The sequence below is a fragment of the Homo sapiens genome, chromosome 15 (assembly GCF_000001405.40).
Source record: "Homo sapiens chromosome 15, GRCh38.p14 Primary Assembly".
Classification (NCBI taxonomy): domain Eukaryota; kingdom Metazoa; phylum Chordata; class Mammalia; order Primates; family Hominidae; genus Homo; species Homo sapiens.
This window is the reverse complement of record NC_000015.10, coordinates 43,243,444-43,262,294: the sequence shown is the minus strand read 5'-3', so window position 1 is coordinate 43,262,294 and position 18,851 is coordinate 43,243,444. Positions and strand designations below refer to the sequence as shown.

At 46.5% G+C, this 18,851-nt stretch overlaps 1 protein-coding gene across 2 annotated transcripts in view, besides 1 other annotated feature; it reads left to right on the top strand.

Moving 5' to 3' along the window:
- The window catches only part of TGM5 (transglutaminase 5), a 34,339-nt gene that overhangs the window by 4,634 nt on the left and 10,854 nt on the right, over window positions 1–18,851 (top strand). Inside the window, exons 2-6 of one of the 2 annotated variants that reach the window (NM_201631.4) lie at window positions 1,716–1,895; window positions 1,998–2,243; window positions 5,609–5,727; window positions 8,661–8,789; window positions 9,359–9,536. In NM_201631.4, the coding sequence (NP_963925.2) occupies window positions 1,716–1,895; window positions 1,998–2,243; window positions 5,609–5,727; window positions 8,661–8,789; window positions 9,359–9,536 (852 nt within the window). The remainder of the gene's footprint in view (window positions 1–1,715; window positions 1,896–1,997; window positions 2,244–5,608; window positions 5,728–8,660; window positions 8,790–9,358; window positions 9,537–18,851) is intronic. The other variant, NM_004245.4, reaches the window with a different exon arrangement.
- Window positions 12,340–12,619: an enhancer, noted in NCBI's record as "active region_9311". NCBI's record gives its function as "activates an Ori minimal core promoter by ATAC-STARR-seq in GM12878 lymphoblastoid cells {active_cell/tissue: GM12878}" and the evidence as "EXISTENCE:reporter gene assay evidence [ECO:0000049][PMID:35858748]".

The following is an 18,851-nucleotide window of genomic DNA, read 5'->3' as shown; positions in this document are numbered from 1 at the left end:
ACTAGTAGGTCTGTTGATATGAATGAACAAATGAACCGGTCATGTAAATTAACTTGTCAATTAAGCAGATGAGCGATTCAGGTAAGTGTATAGCTCAGTAGGTGATGGAAAGAAGGGTGGGCCAACTGAGGCAGGCTTCATGGAGCAGGTAGGTATTGGAGGACAGGTGGAATTTGGTTAGAGAGTGAGGGGCCCTTGAGTTGGGGCTATAACAGCAAATACAAAAACAGGGATTTGCTTGGGGATAGATTGGCTAGAGGACAGGGTCAATGCTGGGAATGATGAGAAGTGAGAATGCAAGAATAAGCTAAGGCCAAGTATGAAGAGCTGTGTCAAGTTAAGGAATGTGCCTTTTATATGGCAGACTGTAGGAGATCTCAGAACTTGTAAAGCAAAAGAATGGCATGATTAAATTGTCTTGAGGAAAGGTAATCTGATAATGCATTAAGAGATGGGAGATGGGGAGAGATACAGGAGGCAGGAGACCTCATGGAGGCCATTATGGTGACTCGGTATGAGAAGACGTTGGAATTATGTGAATGTGGAAAAGGATGGATAGACACCAGAGATGTTTTAATGGAAGGCATGAAGAGAGTTAGTGACAGGTGAATGGGCATGGGCTGAGAAGAAGATGGGTGAGCCAATTGTGATTTAAAGGCTGTGAGCCCACCAGGTGACTCGGACCATGGCAGAACCATGGTCAAACAAGGAAAAATCAAAAACAGACCCTTCTGGCAGAGACACACTTGGAGACTAGTGAGGTCAGTCTGTGTTTTAGCAGAGGCTCCAGAAGGTTGGGAATGAAACTTTCTTTGACTGTTGTCAGCATCCAAGCTCCCAGGGCACTGAGCACGTGGCCTGTGGTGGTCAGAGAGCCAGCAGATGGCTAAAAGAAGAGCAGCTAGCAGCCGGGCACGGTGGCTCACGCCTGTAATCCCAGCACTTTGGGAGGCCGAGGCAGGCAGATCACGAGGTCAGGAGATCCAGACCATTCTCGCTAACACGGTGAAACCCTGTCTTTACTAAAACTACAAAAAATTAGCCAGGCATGGTGGCGGGCGCCTGTAGCCCCAGCTACTCGGGAGGCTGAGGCAGGAGAATGGCGTGAACCCGGGAGGCGGAGCTTGCAGTGAGCCGAGATCGTGCCACTGCACAGCAGCCTGGGCAACAGTGTGAGACTCTGTCTCAAAAAAAAAAAAAAAAAAAAAAAAAAAAAAACACACACACAAAAAAAGGAAGAGCAGCTAGCCCAAGGAGTTAAACCCAGGGCAACTAAACCAGGGAGCAGCTCCCCAGACCTGGAGGCTAGTACAGGCGCAAGTGAGACTGTTAACTTGAGTCCAAGAAAGCGGATGCTGGGGTGAATCTGAAGCCATGTGAGGCTGAAGGGAGCAATCAAACTTGGCCAGGTCTACAGAAGGACTTGGACAGAGGCAGAAAACCATGCCCCTCCAGGAGGGTGTAAGGGAGAAGAAGATAGAGGGTCAGAGAGATAGGAGAGGAAGGAAAAAAGAGGAAAGCGCATGCATGGAACCTCATTAAATCCTCATCCTTATCCTCATCCTGGCAGGCTGATCTTATGGACTCTATTTTACTGATATGGAAACTGAGGCTCAAGCTAAGTTACTTTCTCAAGTTTGCAGAACTAGTAAGTGGTGGACAGGATTGGCTCCACAACCCCACTATTTTGTCTAACCCTGGCTGCCCCATTGCAGGGCTAGAAGTGGCCCTCACAGACCTCCAGAGCTCCAGAAATAATGTGCGGCACCACACGGAGGAGATCACTGTGGACCACCTGCTTGTTCGCCGGGGCCAGGCCTTCAACCTCACCCTGTACTTCAGGAACCGGAGCTTCCAGCCAGGCCTGGACAACATCATCTTCGTGGTTGAAACTGGTAAGAACCCCAGCTGGCTCACAGGGGCTGTGTGTGTCTGGGAGGGGATTTTCGGGGGTTTGGAGGTCGCCATGGAGGGCCTCAGCTCTACTTCCCTCCTAGGACCGCTGCCAGACCTGGCCTTGGGGACTCGGGCTGTGTTCAGCCTGGCACGCCATCACAGCCCCAGCCCCTGGATTGCCTGGCTGGAGACCAATGGGGCCACCTCCACAGAGGTGAGCTTGTGCGCTCCTCCCACGGCGGCCGTGGGTCGGTACCTCTTGAAAATCCACATCGACTCCTTCCAGGGGTCTGTGACGGCCTACCAGCTAGGGGAGTTCATCCTGCTTTTCAATCCCTGGTGCCCAGGTAAGGCTGGGTGCCCAGGCGGTGCCCTCCTTTCTCTTCTGTCAGTGCTGCCAGAGAGACAGGCTCAAGGGTTTCTAGACCCCGCTCCCGGGCCACCCAGAGCCTCCTCAATTCCCTGCACTCAGCATCCGCCCCAACTACCACCAATCAGGGCAGGAAATCTTGCTATTCATTTACTTATTTAGAATTTTCAAGTTATAAACCAAATCATCTTTGCTTAAACAGAAAAACTGTTACAATTAAGTTTGATCGTGAATAACATCTACCTTCATCATATAATTTTAAGTTAACTAGAGTATTTTTCGTTATAAAAGGAACGAATGCACTGCACTGAGTATTTATGGAATGAAGGAAAGGGTCAAAAAAAAAGAAAGAGAAAAGTGTAAAGTAAAAAGTAAAGCCTCCCAATCTCTAAGTTCCATTCAACAGCAGTTCTATTCTTTCAGATTCCATTCACCTTTAACATTTTCTTGTGTAGTTTTACAAAAGTGTTCTATGCTTAATCAAATATGTATGCCTCTGTGTGTGTGTGATTCTACAATACATACCGTAAGTGAGATTATGTAATACATACCATTCTCCAGCTTTTTTTTTTTTTTAATTTAACAATTCAACTTTGGGCACATTTTCCTATCGGAGCATTCTTCTTAGCAGCTACAATTATTTCACTGTTTGGATGCACCAGATATTTTTAACTAGTTCTCTATGGGCATTTTAGCTGTTTCCGGTTTTTTTTTTTCTTCTTCTTCTATAGACAAAGTAACAGTGAATATCTCACACTACCTGTCTCACAAGCCCTGACCTCTAAATCTAGTTGGGGACAGGGCTAGATACATAGGCAGACACAAGGACATGGTGTGGGCAGAAGGGGTCAGGAGTAGAGAACGGGTCTGCTGTGCTTTGAGCAGAGGCCAGACTCCCAAGTCTGGCTTCTGACTTAGGGGACCATCCGCTTCCCATCTTCCCTCTCTTTCTACCTTCTCCCCCAGCCTTATCCCAAGGGGGCCTCCTGGGTCACATCAGGACCCAGAGCCCTGGATGGGTTCTAACGCCTCTAACCACTACCCGCTTCCCTGTCCCCGAATGGCTGAGAATGCTCACCCATCAGCCAGGTGGAGAGACCCTGCCATGGGATCCAGGAGGGCCAGTCGACTGTTTTCCCTGTCTCTGTCTCGTATCTCTCTCTCTCTCTCTCTCAGGGCCTTCTGAGCAGTGGGGAGAAAAGCGTTAATGATGGGGCCTTCTCTCTTGAGCTTGTGCCACACCCAGGCCCCGGGAGACCCAACACTGGGCCTAGGGTTGGTGGGGGCTGAAGTGCCCTGTGGTGCTGCAGGACAGGAGGGTATTGGCTGGGAAGCCTCACTGTGTAGCTCAGGCCACTGCTGGCCCTGGCTGAGAGAAGGGGGCTGTGTGGTCTCAACCATGAACCTGCAGCTTCTCGCCACACTGGCCCAAACCCTCAATAAAATACATCTCAGCAACGACGCCTCCTGCACCAGCCTCCTATCAGGCTGTGTCTGAGGCTGCCTCTGAGGAGGGCACCTTTCCCTCAGGGTCAGACAGAGTTTCCAGACAGTTCTAGGACCCTGCAAAGTGGACGTCTGTGCCCATGGCCTTTTGTTTGTTTGTTCTTAACTTTAAAAAGATAATTTTTAACCTTTATTTTAGGTTCAGGGGTACACATACAGATTTGCTATGTAGGTAAATTGCACACCACAGAGGTTTGGTTTGATGTACGCATTATTTTATTACCCAGGTAATAAGCATACTACCCAACAGGTAGTTTTTCTTTTTTTTTTTTGTAATGGTTTCTTTTTTTTATTATTATACGTTAAGTTCTATGGTATGTGTGCACAACATGCAGGTTTGTTACATATGTATACATGTGCCATGTTGGTGTGCTGCACCCATTAACTTGTCATTTACATTAGGTATATCTCCTAATGCTATCCCTCCCCTCTTCCCCCCACCCCACGACAGGCCCTGGTGTGTGATGTTCCCCACCCTGTGTCCAAGTGTTCTCATTGTTCAATTCCCACCTATGAGTGAGAACATGTGGTGTTTGGTCTTACGTCCTTGCAATAGTTTGCTCAGAATGATGGTTTCCAGCTGCATCCATGTCCCTATAAAGGACATGAACTCATCATTTTTTATGGCTGCATAGTATTCCATGGTGTATATGTGCCACATTTTCTTAATCCAGTCTATCATTGATGGACATTTGGGTTGGTTCCAAGTCTTTGCTATTATGGATAGTGCCACAATAAACATACGTGTGCATGTGTCTTTATAGCAGCATGATTTATAATCCTTTGGGTATATGCCCAGTAATGGTATGGCTGGGTCAAATGGTATTTCTAGTTCTAGACCCTTGAGGAATCGCCACACTGTCTTCCACAATGGTTGAACTAGTTTACAGTCCTACCAACAGTGTAAAAGTGTTGGTATGTCTCCACATCGTCTCCACACCCCCAACATGTAGTTTTTCAATCCTTACCTTCCTCCCACCCTCCACCCTCAAGTAAGCTCCATTACTTTCAATGGCAAAATCCACAATTACTTTTGCACCAACCTAATGTTAAGATATTTTTGAACTGGCTTCAAAACCCTCTGTTCATATGGGCAGCACGTATATGTGTATATGTATAAAAATTCATGCTGTAAACATTGTTCATAATCTGTTCAGACTTCATGTATCACATACAGATTTCCACGTCCATGTACACGATTTTGCTGCCTTACGTCTCTATGGTATGGGATTCCATGGTGGAGATGTATTGAAGCTATCTAACTACTCCCCAATAACAGGGCATGTAGGTGGTTTCCAGCTTTTCAGAATCATAAACAGCACTCAGATGAACAGCTTAGTGTCTAAACCTTTGTGCACATATGAAATGCTTTGTCTAGATTAAATGCCTACAAAAGGAATAATGAGGTCAATGCCAACCCTTAAGGTCTGGTTTGCTCTTTTCCAACCAAGATTAGTATAGCAGAAAAAGCACAGAATATGGAATCAATCGGCTGTGTTCAATTTCCAGCTCTGTGCTGATGTGTGATTTGGGCAATTTACTTAATCACTCTGAGCCTGTTTCCTCAACCTTAAAATGGGGATAGGATGTAAATGTGCTTTGTAAACCAAGAAATTCCACCAAAGGGAAATTTTTATTATTCTACCTTATGTTCATGTTGAGCCTGTTGCTGGTGTTGGGAGCATGGACTCCCTAAGACCCACTGCCTCGTGCCCCTCTTGGTGTCGCCAGGGGCCCTTGCTCCAGAACCGTTTCCTCTGGGACTGTGGGGATGAGAATGGGGCAGTAAGGGAAAGGTGACTTTTCTGCTTCGTGCCCTCCCACTCTGGTTCCTAGAGGATGCTGTCTACTTGGACAGTGAACCCCAGAGGCAGGAGTATGTCATGAATGATTATGGCTTCATCTACCAAGGCAGCAAGAACTGGATCCGCCCATGTCCCTGGAACTATGGACAGGTGAGTCTCAGCCCTGCTTATGGCCCATCCCGGCCCCGAGCTTGTGGGGAGAGGGAGCAGGGCACATGTGAGCTTCACCTAGAACTGCTGACCAACGCTAACTAAATGGCACGAGGAAGATGTGTGTTGTGAGCCCAGGTTGCCCGAGGAGCAGCCATAGGGAGTGGGAGGGCCTTTCTCTTTGCTGATCATGTCTGATTTGGACAACAAGAGCTAAGGGTAAGGGCAGTTAAAGGCACCTCACCCAGGAATTCCAGTGAGCATGAGGGTGAAGATGGAAGGCATGGCAACCATCACAGCAGTGATGATGCCCGGCATTTTGGTTCATTAAACTGTTTTTCCACTGGGGTCCCATTTTCCACTCTCTCACTTCATGCTCACAACCCTTGGTGACTGACCCCTAGCATCAGTTCTGTCACACCAAGGACAACTTGTCCCCTGAATGTCTCAGCCAGAAGCAGGGCTGATGAGCAGCAATGCATCTCCCTCCCCATGGCTACTGTCTCTTTATTTCTGTGTCTTTTTGATGATACATCTTTTTAATTATGAAAGTTAATACATGCTTGTTTAAAAAGATTTGCAAAGAGACATTACAAAAATGGATACATGAAGGTCATCCCAAGCACCATCACCAGCTTGGTGTATGTTCCTCTACATTTTGTTTTCTATACGCATTCTAAAACGCTACTTTATACGTAAAAATAACGTCATATTAATTGCAATGCTCTGCACCTCCTGCCTTTCTAAAAGCCTGCCTCTCATTTCAAATTCAGCCTGCAGCAGGGACTTCAGGAAGTCCAGTGCCAGGCAAGGAAGAGGGCTCTTGATGCTGAGCCCCAGTGCCAAGAGCACTGTGGGAGGGAGAGGATCAGCCCTCAGCCTCTCAGAAAGCTGTCAGCTAGGAAACCCTGGGGATCCTCGTGGAGCCTTGTCTCAGCTTGATATGAATTCCTCTCCTGGACCTGCCCAAATAGAACTCCAACATATGTGTCCTTCCAGCCCCAGCCTGGGCCCAGGGGTGGCTCTAGCCAAGATGAGATATAGCGGCCTCAACTGGCCCCAACTCACATCCCCAATCCTCACTAAGCATGGGCAGATTGGGCATCATGGAGAGACCTGGACAGGAGTGGGCTGCCATCTGTAAGAAACAGAAGAGAGGGGTTGCTGCTTTCTCAGACCTGGGTCCCTCTGTTTCTGTCTTTCTTTTGTTGTTGTTGTCTTGCTTTTTGTTTTTGAGACATGGTCTTGCTCTGTCACCCAGGCTGGAAGGCAGTGGTGAGATCATGGCTCATTGCAGCCTTGACCTCCTGGACTCAAGTGATCCTCCCACCTCAGCCTCCTGAGTAGCTGGGACTACAGGCATGCCCCACCACACCTGGCTAATTTTTTTATTTTTTGCAGAGACGAGGTCTCACTATATTGCCCAGGCTGGTCTCAAACTCCTGGGCTCAAATGATCCTCCCGTCTCGGCCTCCCAAAGTGTTGGGATTACAGGTGTGTGCCATCGCGCCTGGCCCATTTCTGTCTTTCTTCTTCATTAAATATATATTGATCGCCTGCTCAGTGCCAGGCAGGGTGCTAAGTGCTAGAGATATGAAAATGAATACAACATTGTCCCTGATCTTACAGTGTAATGCGGACTCAGACACATAAACAGGTCACTTATCATGAATATGTAAAGATTGAGAGACAGGGGCAGAGTGTTCTGAGAGCCAAGGGGAAGAGCTCTTGGTTGGGCATGGGAGTATCATAGAAGCTTCCTGGGAGAGGAGATGTTTGAATTGAGTTAGCCAAGTGAAGGATAGTGGGAAAAACATCCCAGACAGAGGGAAGGTGTGAGCAAAGACACGAGGGTGGGAAACGGTTTGGCCCGCTGCAGACATTTGGTGTTGCTGGAGAAAAAATGGTAGGGATGGGGGCGGAGGGCAATTATTGATACTTGAGGCTGGAGAGGTAGGTTGGGGCCAGATCTGGGAGGAACTTATGTGCCTTCTGAAGGAGGTCAGAGCTTTGATTCTCTAGGCTGTAGGAGGCCTTTGAAAATTTGAAAACAGAAAAGTGAGCTGATCAGACTGTCCTCTGGGGAAGATTGATCAGAGAAGCCTCCTAATTCTGCATGTTGCCCAGTGTTACACAGGAATAAATGTATTCATTTACACTCATTCTACAAAGAGGTACAGAGTTCCTGCAATGTGCTGGGCACCATGCCAGGCCTAAGGTCCAGAGTTGTGAAGAGAGCTGGACTGAAACAGCCCCGAGACTCAGGCAGGAAAAGACAGACTTGACTACATCACGTAACTGAGTCTCACGCGGAGAGGGCACATACCCAGGGCTGTGGCGCTAAAGCAGGCTCAGGCTCGGGGAAGGCCTCAGAGGGAGTGGCATTCACACCAAGTCTGAAGGACCAGGAGGAGCCAGCCTGCCTTGGGTGGGAAATTTTCATAATTCACATGCAATTAGTCAGCCTAGAGCCCCAGTGAATCACAGGTGCCATGGCAGGTTGGCACCCTCACTTCAGCAGTAGCTGCCAATGCTAAGCTGGGTCAGCAGGTGAGTGTGGAAGCAGGGGCAATGTGGTTTTGGCAGGAACACCCCCTGGTGCTCTAGGAGTGTGGGAACTGAGAGGAGAGGAGGAGCCTTTTCAATCAGTCAGACTCACTGGGGAAAAAACCCAAACAACCCAGGAGTAGCAATAGTCATCTCGGAGTGAAGGGGAGGGATTTGGTGTGCAGGGCATATGCACCAGGTGAATTGTGACCCTAGAGTTTTGAAACCCCACACCTGAATGGGAGGGAATTCATGGCTGTTCTGTTTGACACAGTTACCTTCCAAGTGAGTTTATATTCCACTAGGGTTGGGGGGAAGTCATTACTTTTTACATACTCCCACGTGACAAGCATGGGTGCCTTCCCTCTCTGCCTCTCCCCCCGAAGTTTGAAGACAAAATCATAGACATCTGCCTGAAGCTGCTAGACAAGAGCCTGCACTTCCAGACTGACCCAGCCACAGACTGTGCTCTGCGGGGAAGCCCCGTCTACGTCAGCAGAGTGGTGTGTGCCATGGTGAGGTCCCTGGCGTGCCCGGGGAGGGAGGAAGCTGTGCAGCGGGAGCCCTGCCCACTCACAGTTGCCCCCTGCAGTGGGTGAAAGAGGGACCCTCTGGCAAAGCCATCTTGGATGAGACTGACGCCAGAATGTGGGTGACAAGTTTTCTCAGCCGAGCTCTGAAATAGCTGGGTGTGGGTCATCACCTCTATTAATTCCAAATTGCATGTTTTGAGAAAGGGTGAGTGTAGCTCCAGTTTGGGAAATGGTCTTGTTGTTTCTAAATTTCCTCTTTTCTGAAGTGTTTTTTAAAGCTCTCAGAGGTAAGCTCCAGCTTTGCAGGGGATGGGAGGACATGGGTAAGGGGTAGATAGGAACATAATAATAAACTAATTCACAGTGGAGCAGAAGTCAGAAGAGTCAACCCCCATCCTTAGCCCTCCCCAGCAGGTCTGGAAGTCCACAGTAAAATGCTGTCAAAAGTCTCTCCTCTGTTTCTCAGGCCCATGGGTCTTCCAAGGCAGCCCACACATGGCATGTTGAGGAAATGGATGTTTCTAACACTTCTCTATATGGCTTCTCTTCAGATCAACAGCAATGATGATAATGGGGTGCTCAATGGAAACTGGAGTGAGAATTACACAGACGGCGCCAACCCTGCGGAGTGGACGGGCAGCGTGGCCATCCTGAAGCAGTGGAACGCCACAGGCTGCCAGCCCGTGCGCTACGGGCAATGCTGGGTCTTTGCTGCCGTCATGTGCACAGGTAGGAGGTAGAAAGGACCCCACAAAAAGGTCAGAAGTATAGCCGCTCATGTATGAGCCTTCTGAACCATTCCCATCCCAGTCCCACACAGTTCCCACCAAGGGACATTTGGAAGGAAGCCCTTTTCCTCTCTGAAATGTCTCGGCCGGGCACGGTGGCTCACACCTGTAATCCCAGCACTTTGGGAGCCCGAGGTGGGTGGATCCCAAGGTCAGGAGTTCAAGACCAGCCTGGCCAAGATGGTGAAACCCCGTCTCTACTAAAAATACAAAAATTAGCAGGGCACGGTGGCAGGCACCTGTAATCCCAGCTACTCGGGAGGCTGAGGCAGGAGAATTGCTTGAACCCGGGGGGGCAGAGGTTGCAATGAGCCAAGATCACGCCACTGCACTCCAGTCTGGGTGACAAGAGTGAGACTCCATCTCAAAAAATAAATAAAAAAATAAAGTGTCTCATCACGGACCTCAGACTGCACATGTCTGGGCTTATGTCAGACCATGGTTCCGAAGTGACAGTCACACGTCCCAGGACGCCTGACACCCTTGCTTCGTCTAAGCTTAGGCAACTTACCAGCATATTCCTAAGAGCTTGGCTGGGAACTGTCTAGGTTCAAGACAGAAATGAGATGAGAGGCTGAGTAATTAGGAAACTACAAACTGATTAGTGTCCTTTCTGAGCACAGAGAATGGGCTCAATGAAGATGTGTACATGGAAGGGAAACGTGAGTCAGGGCTGTGGTGTGGGCCATGGGGCCAGAGCAAGATGGCAACCCAAGGGAAATGACCTTGAATTTGGAGTTGTTGAGGGCCTGATAGCCTGACTCTGGCCAGAGGGTTAGGGGAAGGAAGAAAATGTGAGGTCAGCTTTTCAGATAAGGAATGGATACTACATTAGTAGAGGAAAAACTAAAAAATACATATGTGGAAAAGATGGCAAATGGAAGTTGGTTTGTGGGTGACAAGAGGAGGAGATGAGGAGGAAATCATGAGGGGAGTGATACTTGGAAATGAGTCACACATGGAGGTGAAAGGAGGAGGCCTTCTGCCTCACCCAGGGCCAAGCACTTGCTCCGGGTCCTCACCCTCACCCTGCCCCACACCCAGGCCTGCTCTCGGCCTCTTGGCTTGCGCATTCTGATTTGGGTGGCGATCAGAAGGTTATTTATTGTGTTAAGCTGGGGAGAGAAGCCAAGCAAGGTTTTCGCTCACAGGATTCTTTAGGGGAATCCAAGAATACCAGATCTGCCCATAGCTTGGTGTTTATTGGGGGCTCAGGCCTTCTGGGTAGAATTTTGTGTGTGACAAAGTTTGTTGCATTTCGTGTGCATATATGTGCCAGGCCCATCTCTGGGCTGTTGGAAGAATGCAACTTCCCTGAAGGAAGCTCAGAGAGCCCCAGGCATCTGTCCAAGGGCACGAGGAGGTGTTGCCACCGAGAGAGAGTGACTTTGCACAGTTGATGAGAATGATCAGTAAGCCCCAAGATTACTCCTCTGCAGCTGCAGAGCCAGCTCTTGAGTTGGATGAGTTGAGTTGGATGAGTTGAGTGCCCAGGTATAAGAAACAAGGAATTCCACAGCTTTGAGACTCCATGTCATGAATATTTGGGTGAAGTGAGAGGACTGAGTCCTTCAGGAAGCAAGCACAAGACTGACAGGTAGAGACTAGATCTTGTATAAGATAGAGAGAGAACCTTCCAGTGTGTGGAAAAGCCTAGCATCTAATGGGCCAGGTATGTGTGTGTAGAAGGAGTGAGCCAGGTTTGGGTGTGGTTGTCTGGAACTGCGTGATGAGAGAAGTGGAGCCAGTGAATGGAGATTATGCAATGACAGTAGACCAATTAACATGTTTGTGAGAATCATGGCCCTTTAGTGGCCTGGAAAACAAAGGGTTGGTCAAAGTAGGTCAAACGTGGCCCAGTCCCCTGTAGCTCAATCAGCACTAACCTTCCCCCAAAGAGCTACCATGTTATAAATTAAGAAATACAGCAGTTTGAAAAACTCATCCCTTCACAGCAATACTTACTGAGTCCTTATTCTACACCAGGCACTCACTGTGTTCCAAGAGCTCTTGGATACAAGATGGGTAAGACCCAGCTTCTGTCTTCAACCAAAGTTAAAATTAAAGATTTAGTCAAACTCCTTAACCTCAAACAGTTCCCAAAGCATGTTTTTTGAAAATATATATGTTATTATTTCATAGCCATAGTAACTAATGTTTATTGGGGACTTCCTTTGTGCCAGGCACTGTGCTAAAACCCTGACAGCCTAGAGTAGTGGAGAAGCTTGTGGACTCTGGAGGCAAGATGCGTGAGGTTGCATACCAGCACTACCATTAATTGGCTGAGTAACCTTGGGCAAGTCATTTAACTTGTGCCTCAGTTTCCTCAGATGTACAATGGGGAAAGTAGTGGTACCTACCTCATAGGATTATTGAAGGGATTGAGTGACTTCATACTGGAGAGTGCTTAGAATAGTGCCTGGCTATAGTGAGTGTTCAGGAAGCATCAGTTAGGGTCCTCTTGTCTGATCCCCTAAATGACCTTATGAGGTGGGACCTATCATCTCCATTTTTCAGAAGAGGAAATTGAGTGGTGGAGCCAGTCTCATACCCAAGTCTGGCTGGCTCTGTAAGCCATGTGCTAACCATCAGGCCATACCACCTCATGAACATTGCTAGCAGCTGCCATTAATCCAGCACCAAGTCCCTCAGGAACACACTGGACGCTTTCACTTTTACTAATCCTGACCACCACCTGCAAAGTCGATATATCATTATAGCCATTTCACAGATGAGGAAGCAGGCTTAAAGTGACTGAGGGACTCTGGTCTGACTCAGACATGCATCTCCCCTCTACGGCCCTGCCTCCCAGTGTGGCCTTTCAACACGTTGACACATTGACTTCAACTTCCCATAGAAAAACCACAAAAGGAGGCTTTGCGTGCCTCAAAGATGAGGTTATAGTTTTTGCACATCCATTTAGTTGCCTGTTACTTGAGAATTTTAGAGAACTCCCTGGCCTACCCTTTCTGTGCCCAGGGCCAGGCACCCTGGAGTTCTAGGCCCTCAGGCTCTTCCTGTTCTGGCCTTTCACTCTTTGACAAGATTGGAACCCTCAGCCCTCGGCTGAGGTCTGGGAAGTAGCCTGGATGCCTTTCACGATAGCAAGAGTACAGAGGGGACAGTGATGTTCTGTTGCCTGAAAACTCCCCAAAAGCCAGCTGTGAAAAAGCCACATAGTGTATAATTTCATACATATGAAATGTCCAGAGCAGGCAAATTCATAGAGATAGAAAGTAGAGCGTGGTTGCTTAGGGCTGGGAGGAGGGGATAGTTGGGAGTGACTGCTAATGTAATGAGGTTTCCTTTTGAGGTGAAAATGTTTTGGAGTTAGACAGTAAAGATTGTTGTACAACCTGTGACTGTATTACAAACCACTGAACTGTCCACTTTACAAGGCTGAACTTTATGGTATGTGAATTATATCTCAAGAAAATTATTTGAGAAGAAGCCAGGCATCCTGGGAATATGCCTGGTCTATTCTTGTCCATAACTGCCTGGGGTTGGAAGTGGGGTAGGGGACAGCAATGACTTGGGCTGAGGGTTGGGAGGTACTAATGTGTGACCGTAAGCAGGTGTACAGCATCATCCCTCTTCTGTAAAATAAGGTCCAAGGTCCCAGGGGCTGTAAGGGGAAGGGGAGGTAGGAAAGGGTGTGGGCGATGGGAGGCTGCCTGGTTGGGACTGGGACTGGGCCCTCTTAAACTAAAGCAACCCAACTTGCATGTCTTTTATACATCAAATCCTCACTTATGATTGGTTTGCATATAGGGCCCTCTGCTTAATACTTTTTTGAAAACCCCTGAGCTAGATATTATCTAAGATTTTTCTAACTCAATTATGTAGGGGCCTTTAAAACGTATCTCATCTTCATTTCAATACAATAACTCTTGTTCTCATTGTTTTTACCCTTAAGTCTCAAAGAAGGAACTGCAGCCAAGGCCCTGGTGCATACCCCAGCCTTTTCTTAGATCCCAGTTCAAACTCTTTTGTGCAGTGCCCTGGACTAAACACAAACCTTTCTTATTTTCCATTGATTTCCATTGACATAAGATAGTACGGAATGTTCCCTCGTAAGGTTGTTGACTAATACATGGAGAGTAGATAGAAAGATGTCTGGCCCATAAGTTTTATCTAAATGTTAGCTATTATAATTAGTCTGGTACTGTTTTAATCTCTGCCTCTTGGGCTCCAGGGCTTTGGCTGGGTCTTATTCAAAAGTTGTTTCGGCCAGGTGCAGTGGCTCATGCCTGTAATCCCAGCACTTTGGGAGGCCGAGGCAGGGGAATCACCAGGTCAGGAGATCGAGACCAACTTGACTAACATGGTGAAACCCCATCTGTACTAAAAATACAAAAAATTAGCTGGGCGTGGTGGTGGGTTCCTGTAGTCCCAGCTAATCAGGAGGCTGAGGCAGGAAAATGGCATGAACCTGGGAAGTGGAGCTTGCAGTGAGCTGAAATCAGGCCACTCCAGCCTGGGTGACAGAGCAAGACTCTGTCTCAAAAAATAAAAATAAATAAAAAAGTTGTTTCTAGCTATCCCTGAAACTTCAGTTCCCCTCTCTCCCACTTTTTTTCCCTTTTATTTCCTTTCTTTCTTGGAATGTTTAGAGTTAACTATATTCCTCATTTCATGGCACTTACCATAATTGGTCTGCTCAGGCCCCTCTTTGTAAAAGGCCCTTCTTATTAAAATTAATTTCCCCCTTTTATCTCATAGCCCACTTCCATTCACCTCTCTGCATGATAGGGAAACATTTTAATGTGTTTAATATGTAGCACTGTAGTTGGATGTGTTTTCGCAAAAAAATCATATTATTATCTTTGTGCAGTATTTTATTCAGTATGGTTTTGGTTTCATCTATTGTATTTGTCTTTTGCATGCATATGTATATAGTTTTATTTTTGTTTATTTTTTAGGGCTAGTCAAGTGAAGCAGTGGGAATGGAAAAGGAACAAAGAAATCTGTAACTTGTTGTGATGAATTAGTTGTAAACACCACTGCACTTGGACCCGTGTGTATTTTTCATCTTTAGAAGTTCCACTGAGTCTTTTTTTTTTTTACCTTCCATTTCTCTTCTCATTATGTTTTTGTTTTTCTATAACTCCCTTTGGGCATTTTGAGCATATTTATAATATTTAAAATAGCTCTTTGAGGTCCTTGTCTCCTTTTTTTTTTGAGGTCAGCTTTTTAAAAAATAATTTCAACTTCTATTTTAGATTCGGGGGTACCTGTGCAGGTGTGTTATGTGGGTATATTACATGATGCTGAAGTTTGGAGTATGGATGATTCGTCACTCAGTGCTAATTTCATTGTCTCTGGCATTTCTGAATCTGGTTCTATTGATTAATTTTTCTACTGGCTATGGGTCATATTTTTCTGTTTCTTTGCATGCTTGCCCATTTTTTATTGTGTTATGCTGTTGATAACTGGATTTTGTTTTATTCCTTTAAAGGACTTTGTGTGGTACAGCAATAACAAATTCCTTGCAGATTAATTTGAGCTTTTGGAGGTTTGCTTTTTTTTTTTTTTTTTTTTGAGACAGAGTCTCGCTCTTGTCGCCCAGGCTATAGTGCAGCAGCACAATCTCAGCTCACTGCAACCTCCACCTACCAGGTTCAAGCTATTCTCCTGCCTCAGCCTTCTGAGTAGCTGGGACTACAGGCACCCAACACCACGCCCGGCTAATTTTTGTTCTTTTAGTAGAGGCAGGGTTTCGCCATGTTGGCCAGGCTGGTCTCAAACTCCTTGAGGTTTGCTTTTAAGCTTTGTTATGATGGCTCCAGAGCAGTCTTTACCCTAAGCTTAATTTAGCCCCACTACTAAGTCATGCCTCTTCTGAAGACTCTTATCAAATGCCCTATGTATTATGAGGCGTCTCCACTCTATTGCTTTATCTGGCCTCCTGGAATTTCATCCCCATGCTTGCACAGATTACCACTCAGCCAAAGACTTGAAAGACCCCTCTGCAGATCTCTGGAATACTCTCTCTGTTCAGCTCTCTCCCCTCCATACACTCCATCCTGCAAATTTGAGCCATCTTAGCTTCCCTCAATTGTGATCTCATCTCGTTAACTTGTTAAGACTGCTGAGTTCTTTCTGGGCTTCCCGAGCCTGTGTTGTGGCCTGGATGCTGCTCTAGGAAGTTCCTCAATTGCGATTTGTCTGTTATTGTTCTCATGATCATACTAGAAGTATGTATTTTGGGGAGGAAGACAACAAAAGTAGTGCTTCCTGCTCACATAATATCAAGGGTGCCTGCTGTCAATACGACTTATCACTGTTGATGTTGACCTTGATGCCTGGCTGAGATGGTTCAGTCTTTGCTAGCATGAAGTGGCGGGGGACGAGGCTACAGGCTGTGTCTGTACAGTCAGTTTGTCCAAATCAGGATCTAATTAGGAACCAAACATTGCACCTGATTGCAATGTCCTCTGTGTCTCCTTTAATATCAAAGAGATCCTTTAATTCAATATGTGACTTTTTTGAAGACACTGAGACAGTTGTCCTGCACAACTCTACCTTTTAGACTTGCCCGAGGGCTTCATTGTATTGTTGGTCTTATGCCTCTGTTCTTTGTATTTTGCAACTGGAAGTTAGATATAAAATATTCATATTAAACATTTTGACTAGAGGTCTTTTAAAGCAGTCTTCTGATTGTCCATCCCCACACAAGCAGCTGAAATTTTTGTCTTTTCTCTGTTGGTCCAGGAGACTGACTTGTGTGAGGATGGAGGGAGTAGATTGTAGTGCTCATTGTGAAGGGGCCTTTTTTGCCATTTAAGACCCCCCCCCCCAACACACACACACAGATAACCCTTACAAATCTGCCACAGAGCCACAGAGCAGGTCTCACAGCTCCATGGCAACTGCCCAGTGCCATCTTCTGCGCTGCCATTTTCATCTAATACATGACCCAGGTCCTACATGCTGTGCTTTGCTCCTTCAAGGTTGATATCCTTGTTTCCATTTCCTATTTCTCTGTAAACAGTGCTCATTTGTACTTCTTGAGTAACAGGTTATTGCACTTCGATGACGAGGGTTCAGTTCTTAATTGCCCCCACCCCCTTATCAAAAAATAATTTTGGTAGGGCCCTGTCTTAGTGCAGGCTAGAAGACCGGAGATTATCATGGAAAACAGATGGTATACCTTTGCATACTTAAGGTACTATTAAGGAAACAAATAAGATTTCATTTCCTTGCCATTACAGGTGAGAGAGAACAGTTCAAATATGATTAGTGATGGCATATCTGAAAGACCAAAGCAATATGATCATCTTGGTTATAAGGGACGATTAAAGGCATGGGATAAAGAGCAGGAAGTGATATATTTATCATTTGGAAGCTTAATGCGTTCAGGGAGAAATTAAAAGGTGATAAAAGTCATCACATTTATACTCAATTACTTTGACTCTAAGAGCTGGAGTTTTGGCCACATTTCTCGATAAAAGCTATGGGAGTGTGGCAGTAAAGCTAACTGAATGCATTTCAATAAATTGAACTCTAACTTTCCACTGAATTTTCTTATAAAATTAGGGCCACATTCCACATTGCAGCAAAAAGAGCTTTACAGCCAGTCCTGAAACATACTAGATATTTTATTTTATTTTATTTTAGACAGGATCTCACTCTGTCACCCAGGCTGGAGCACCCAGGCTGGAGTGCAGTGGCGCCATTATGGCTCACTGCAGCCTCAACCTCCTGAGCTCAAGCGATTCTCCTGCCTCAGCCTCCTGAGTAGCTGGGACCACAGGCATGTGCCACTATACCCGGCCAATTTTTTTATTTTTTTGTAGAGGTGAAGTCTCACTATGTTGCCCAGGCTGGTCTCAAACTCCTGGGCTCAAGCAATCCTCCCTCCTTGGCCTCTCAAAGTGCTGGGATTACCAGCCTGAGCCACTGTGCCTGGCCCCATACTCATCATTTTAATACACCATTAGGACATGGTCCACTACCAGTCAAGTGAAATTGTATTCCTCGAAGGCAGGAATGTCTTTCATTTTTGTATCCTCTTCATCTAATTGACTACCTGGTCTCAACACTTATCACTGAATGACTACTAAATGGCTGAATGAAGAAATGTAATTACTAATGCTGAGAATGCAGTGTGATATACCTTGATAACTCTGTGGTCCCTTCCCAACTCTGAGATCTCGTTCACCTTTGCCCAGTTGTCACTGCATCAGTGCATGTAGTGTATGCATGTCCATAAGCACAGATGCCACACATGGGTTTCTCTTTCACGAGGGACTCAGATCCCACAAAATCATCAGTGACAGGTCACCTAAATCTCATGTCAAACTGTGAGTCATCAGGACTGATAGTCTGCAGAAACAGGTTAAAGGTGCCTCACTTTAACAGGAATATAATGAGCACCTACCCTGTGCCCAGCCTTGTACTAGGAATGTAGAAATGCAAGAAAAGTCTTATATGAGCTCAACTCTAGGGGGATTTGTAATTTGGCAGACAAGGTAAGACAGACACATTAAATTACAGAGAGCCGAATCCAGTGCTGAAATGTGTGACACAGGCGATCAGGGTTATGTGAGAGCATGAGAAGGGATGAGTGCGGTGTGGAGTCATTGGTGAAAACTTCACAGAGGAAGGTGCATTGAGACTGAGGTGTGGCTGGGATGTCCAATGGAGTTACAGTGTTGTGGCCTGCAGTTAAAAGCATGAGAGGCTTTGAGATCAGAGAGACATGGGTTTATGTCCTGCCCTGGTTTTTCTCTTCCTGCCCTGTGACCTTACCTCTCTAAACTTCAGGTGTCTCATCTTTAAAGTTGGGATAATCATATGGGTATGAAGAAGACTAAGGTAGATAATCCTTGTGCAGTGCTTGGCACCATGCCTGGTACCTATGATGATGATGATGTCCTTGACTAGAAAGGAAGACCGAGAAGGCTGGAAGACAATAAGTTCAGTAAGGGATGTGTTCAGTGACAGCAAGGTCTCTAGACAGGCTCAAGATTCAAATTCAAGAGTCCTGGGCACAGAAGTGGGAGAGAAAGCCATAGTCGGGATGAGCTCTTTGTGGGAGGACAGAACCAGAAGGACAGAGCTCTGGAGCAAGGCCCCTGGAAACATGTATGTGCATGACTTCTGGTGAACAGATCTGAGTGCCTTGAAGCTGATGCCTTGGCTTCACCCCCTATGTAAGAAACCATTCTTGCCCCTCTGTAACTTCATTCTGTTCTACTGTGACAATCTGCTCCCCATCCAAGTCCTCTCACAAGCCATGATGAGCAAAGGG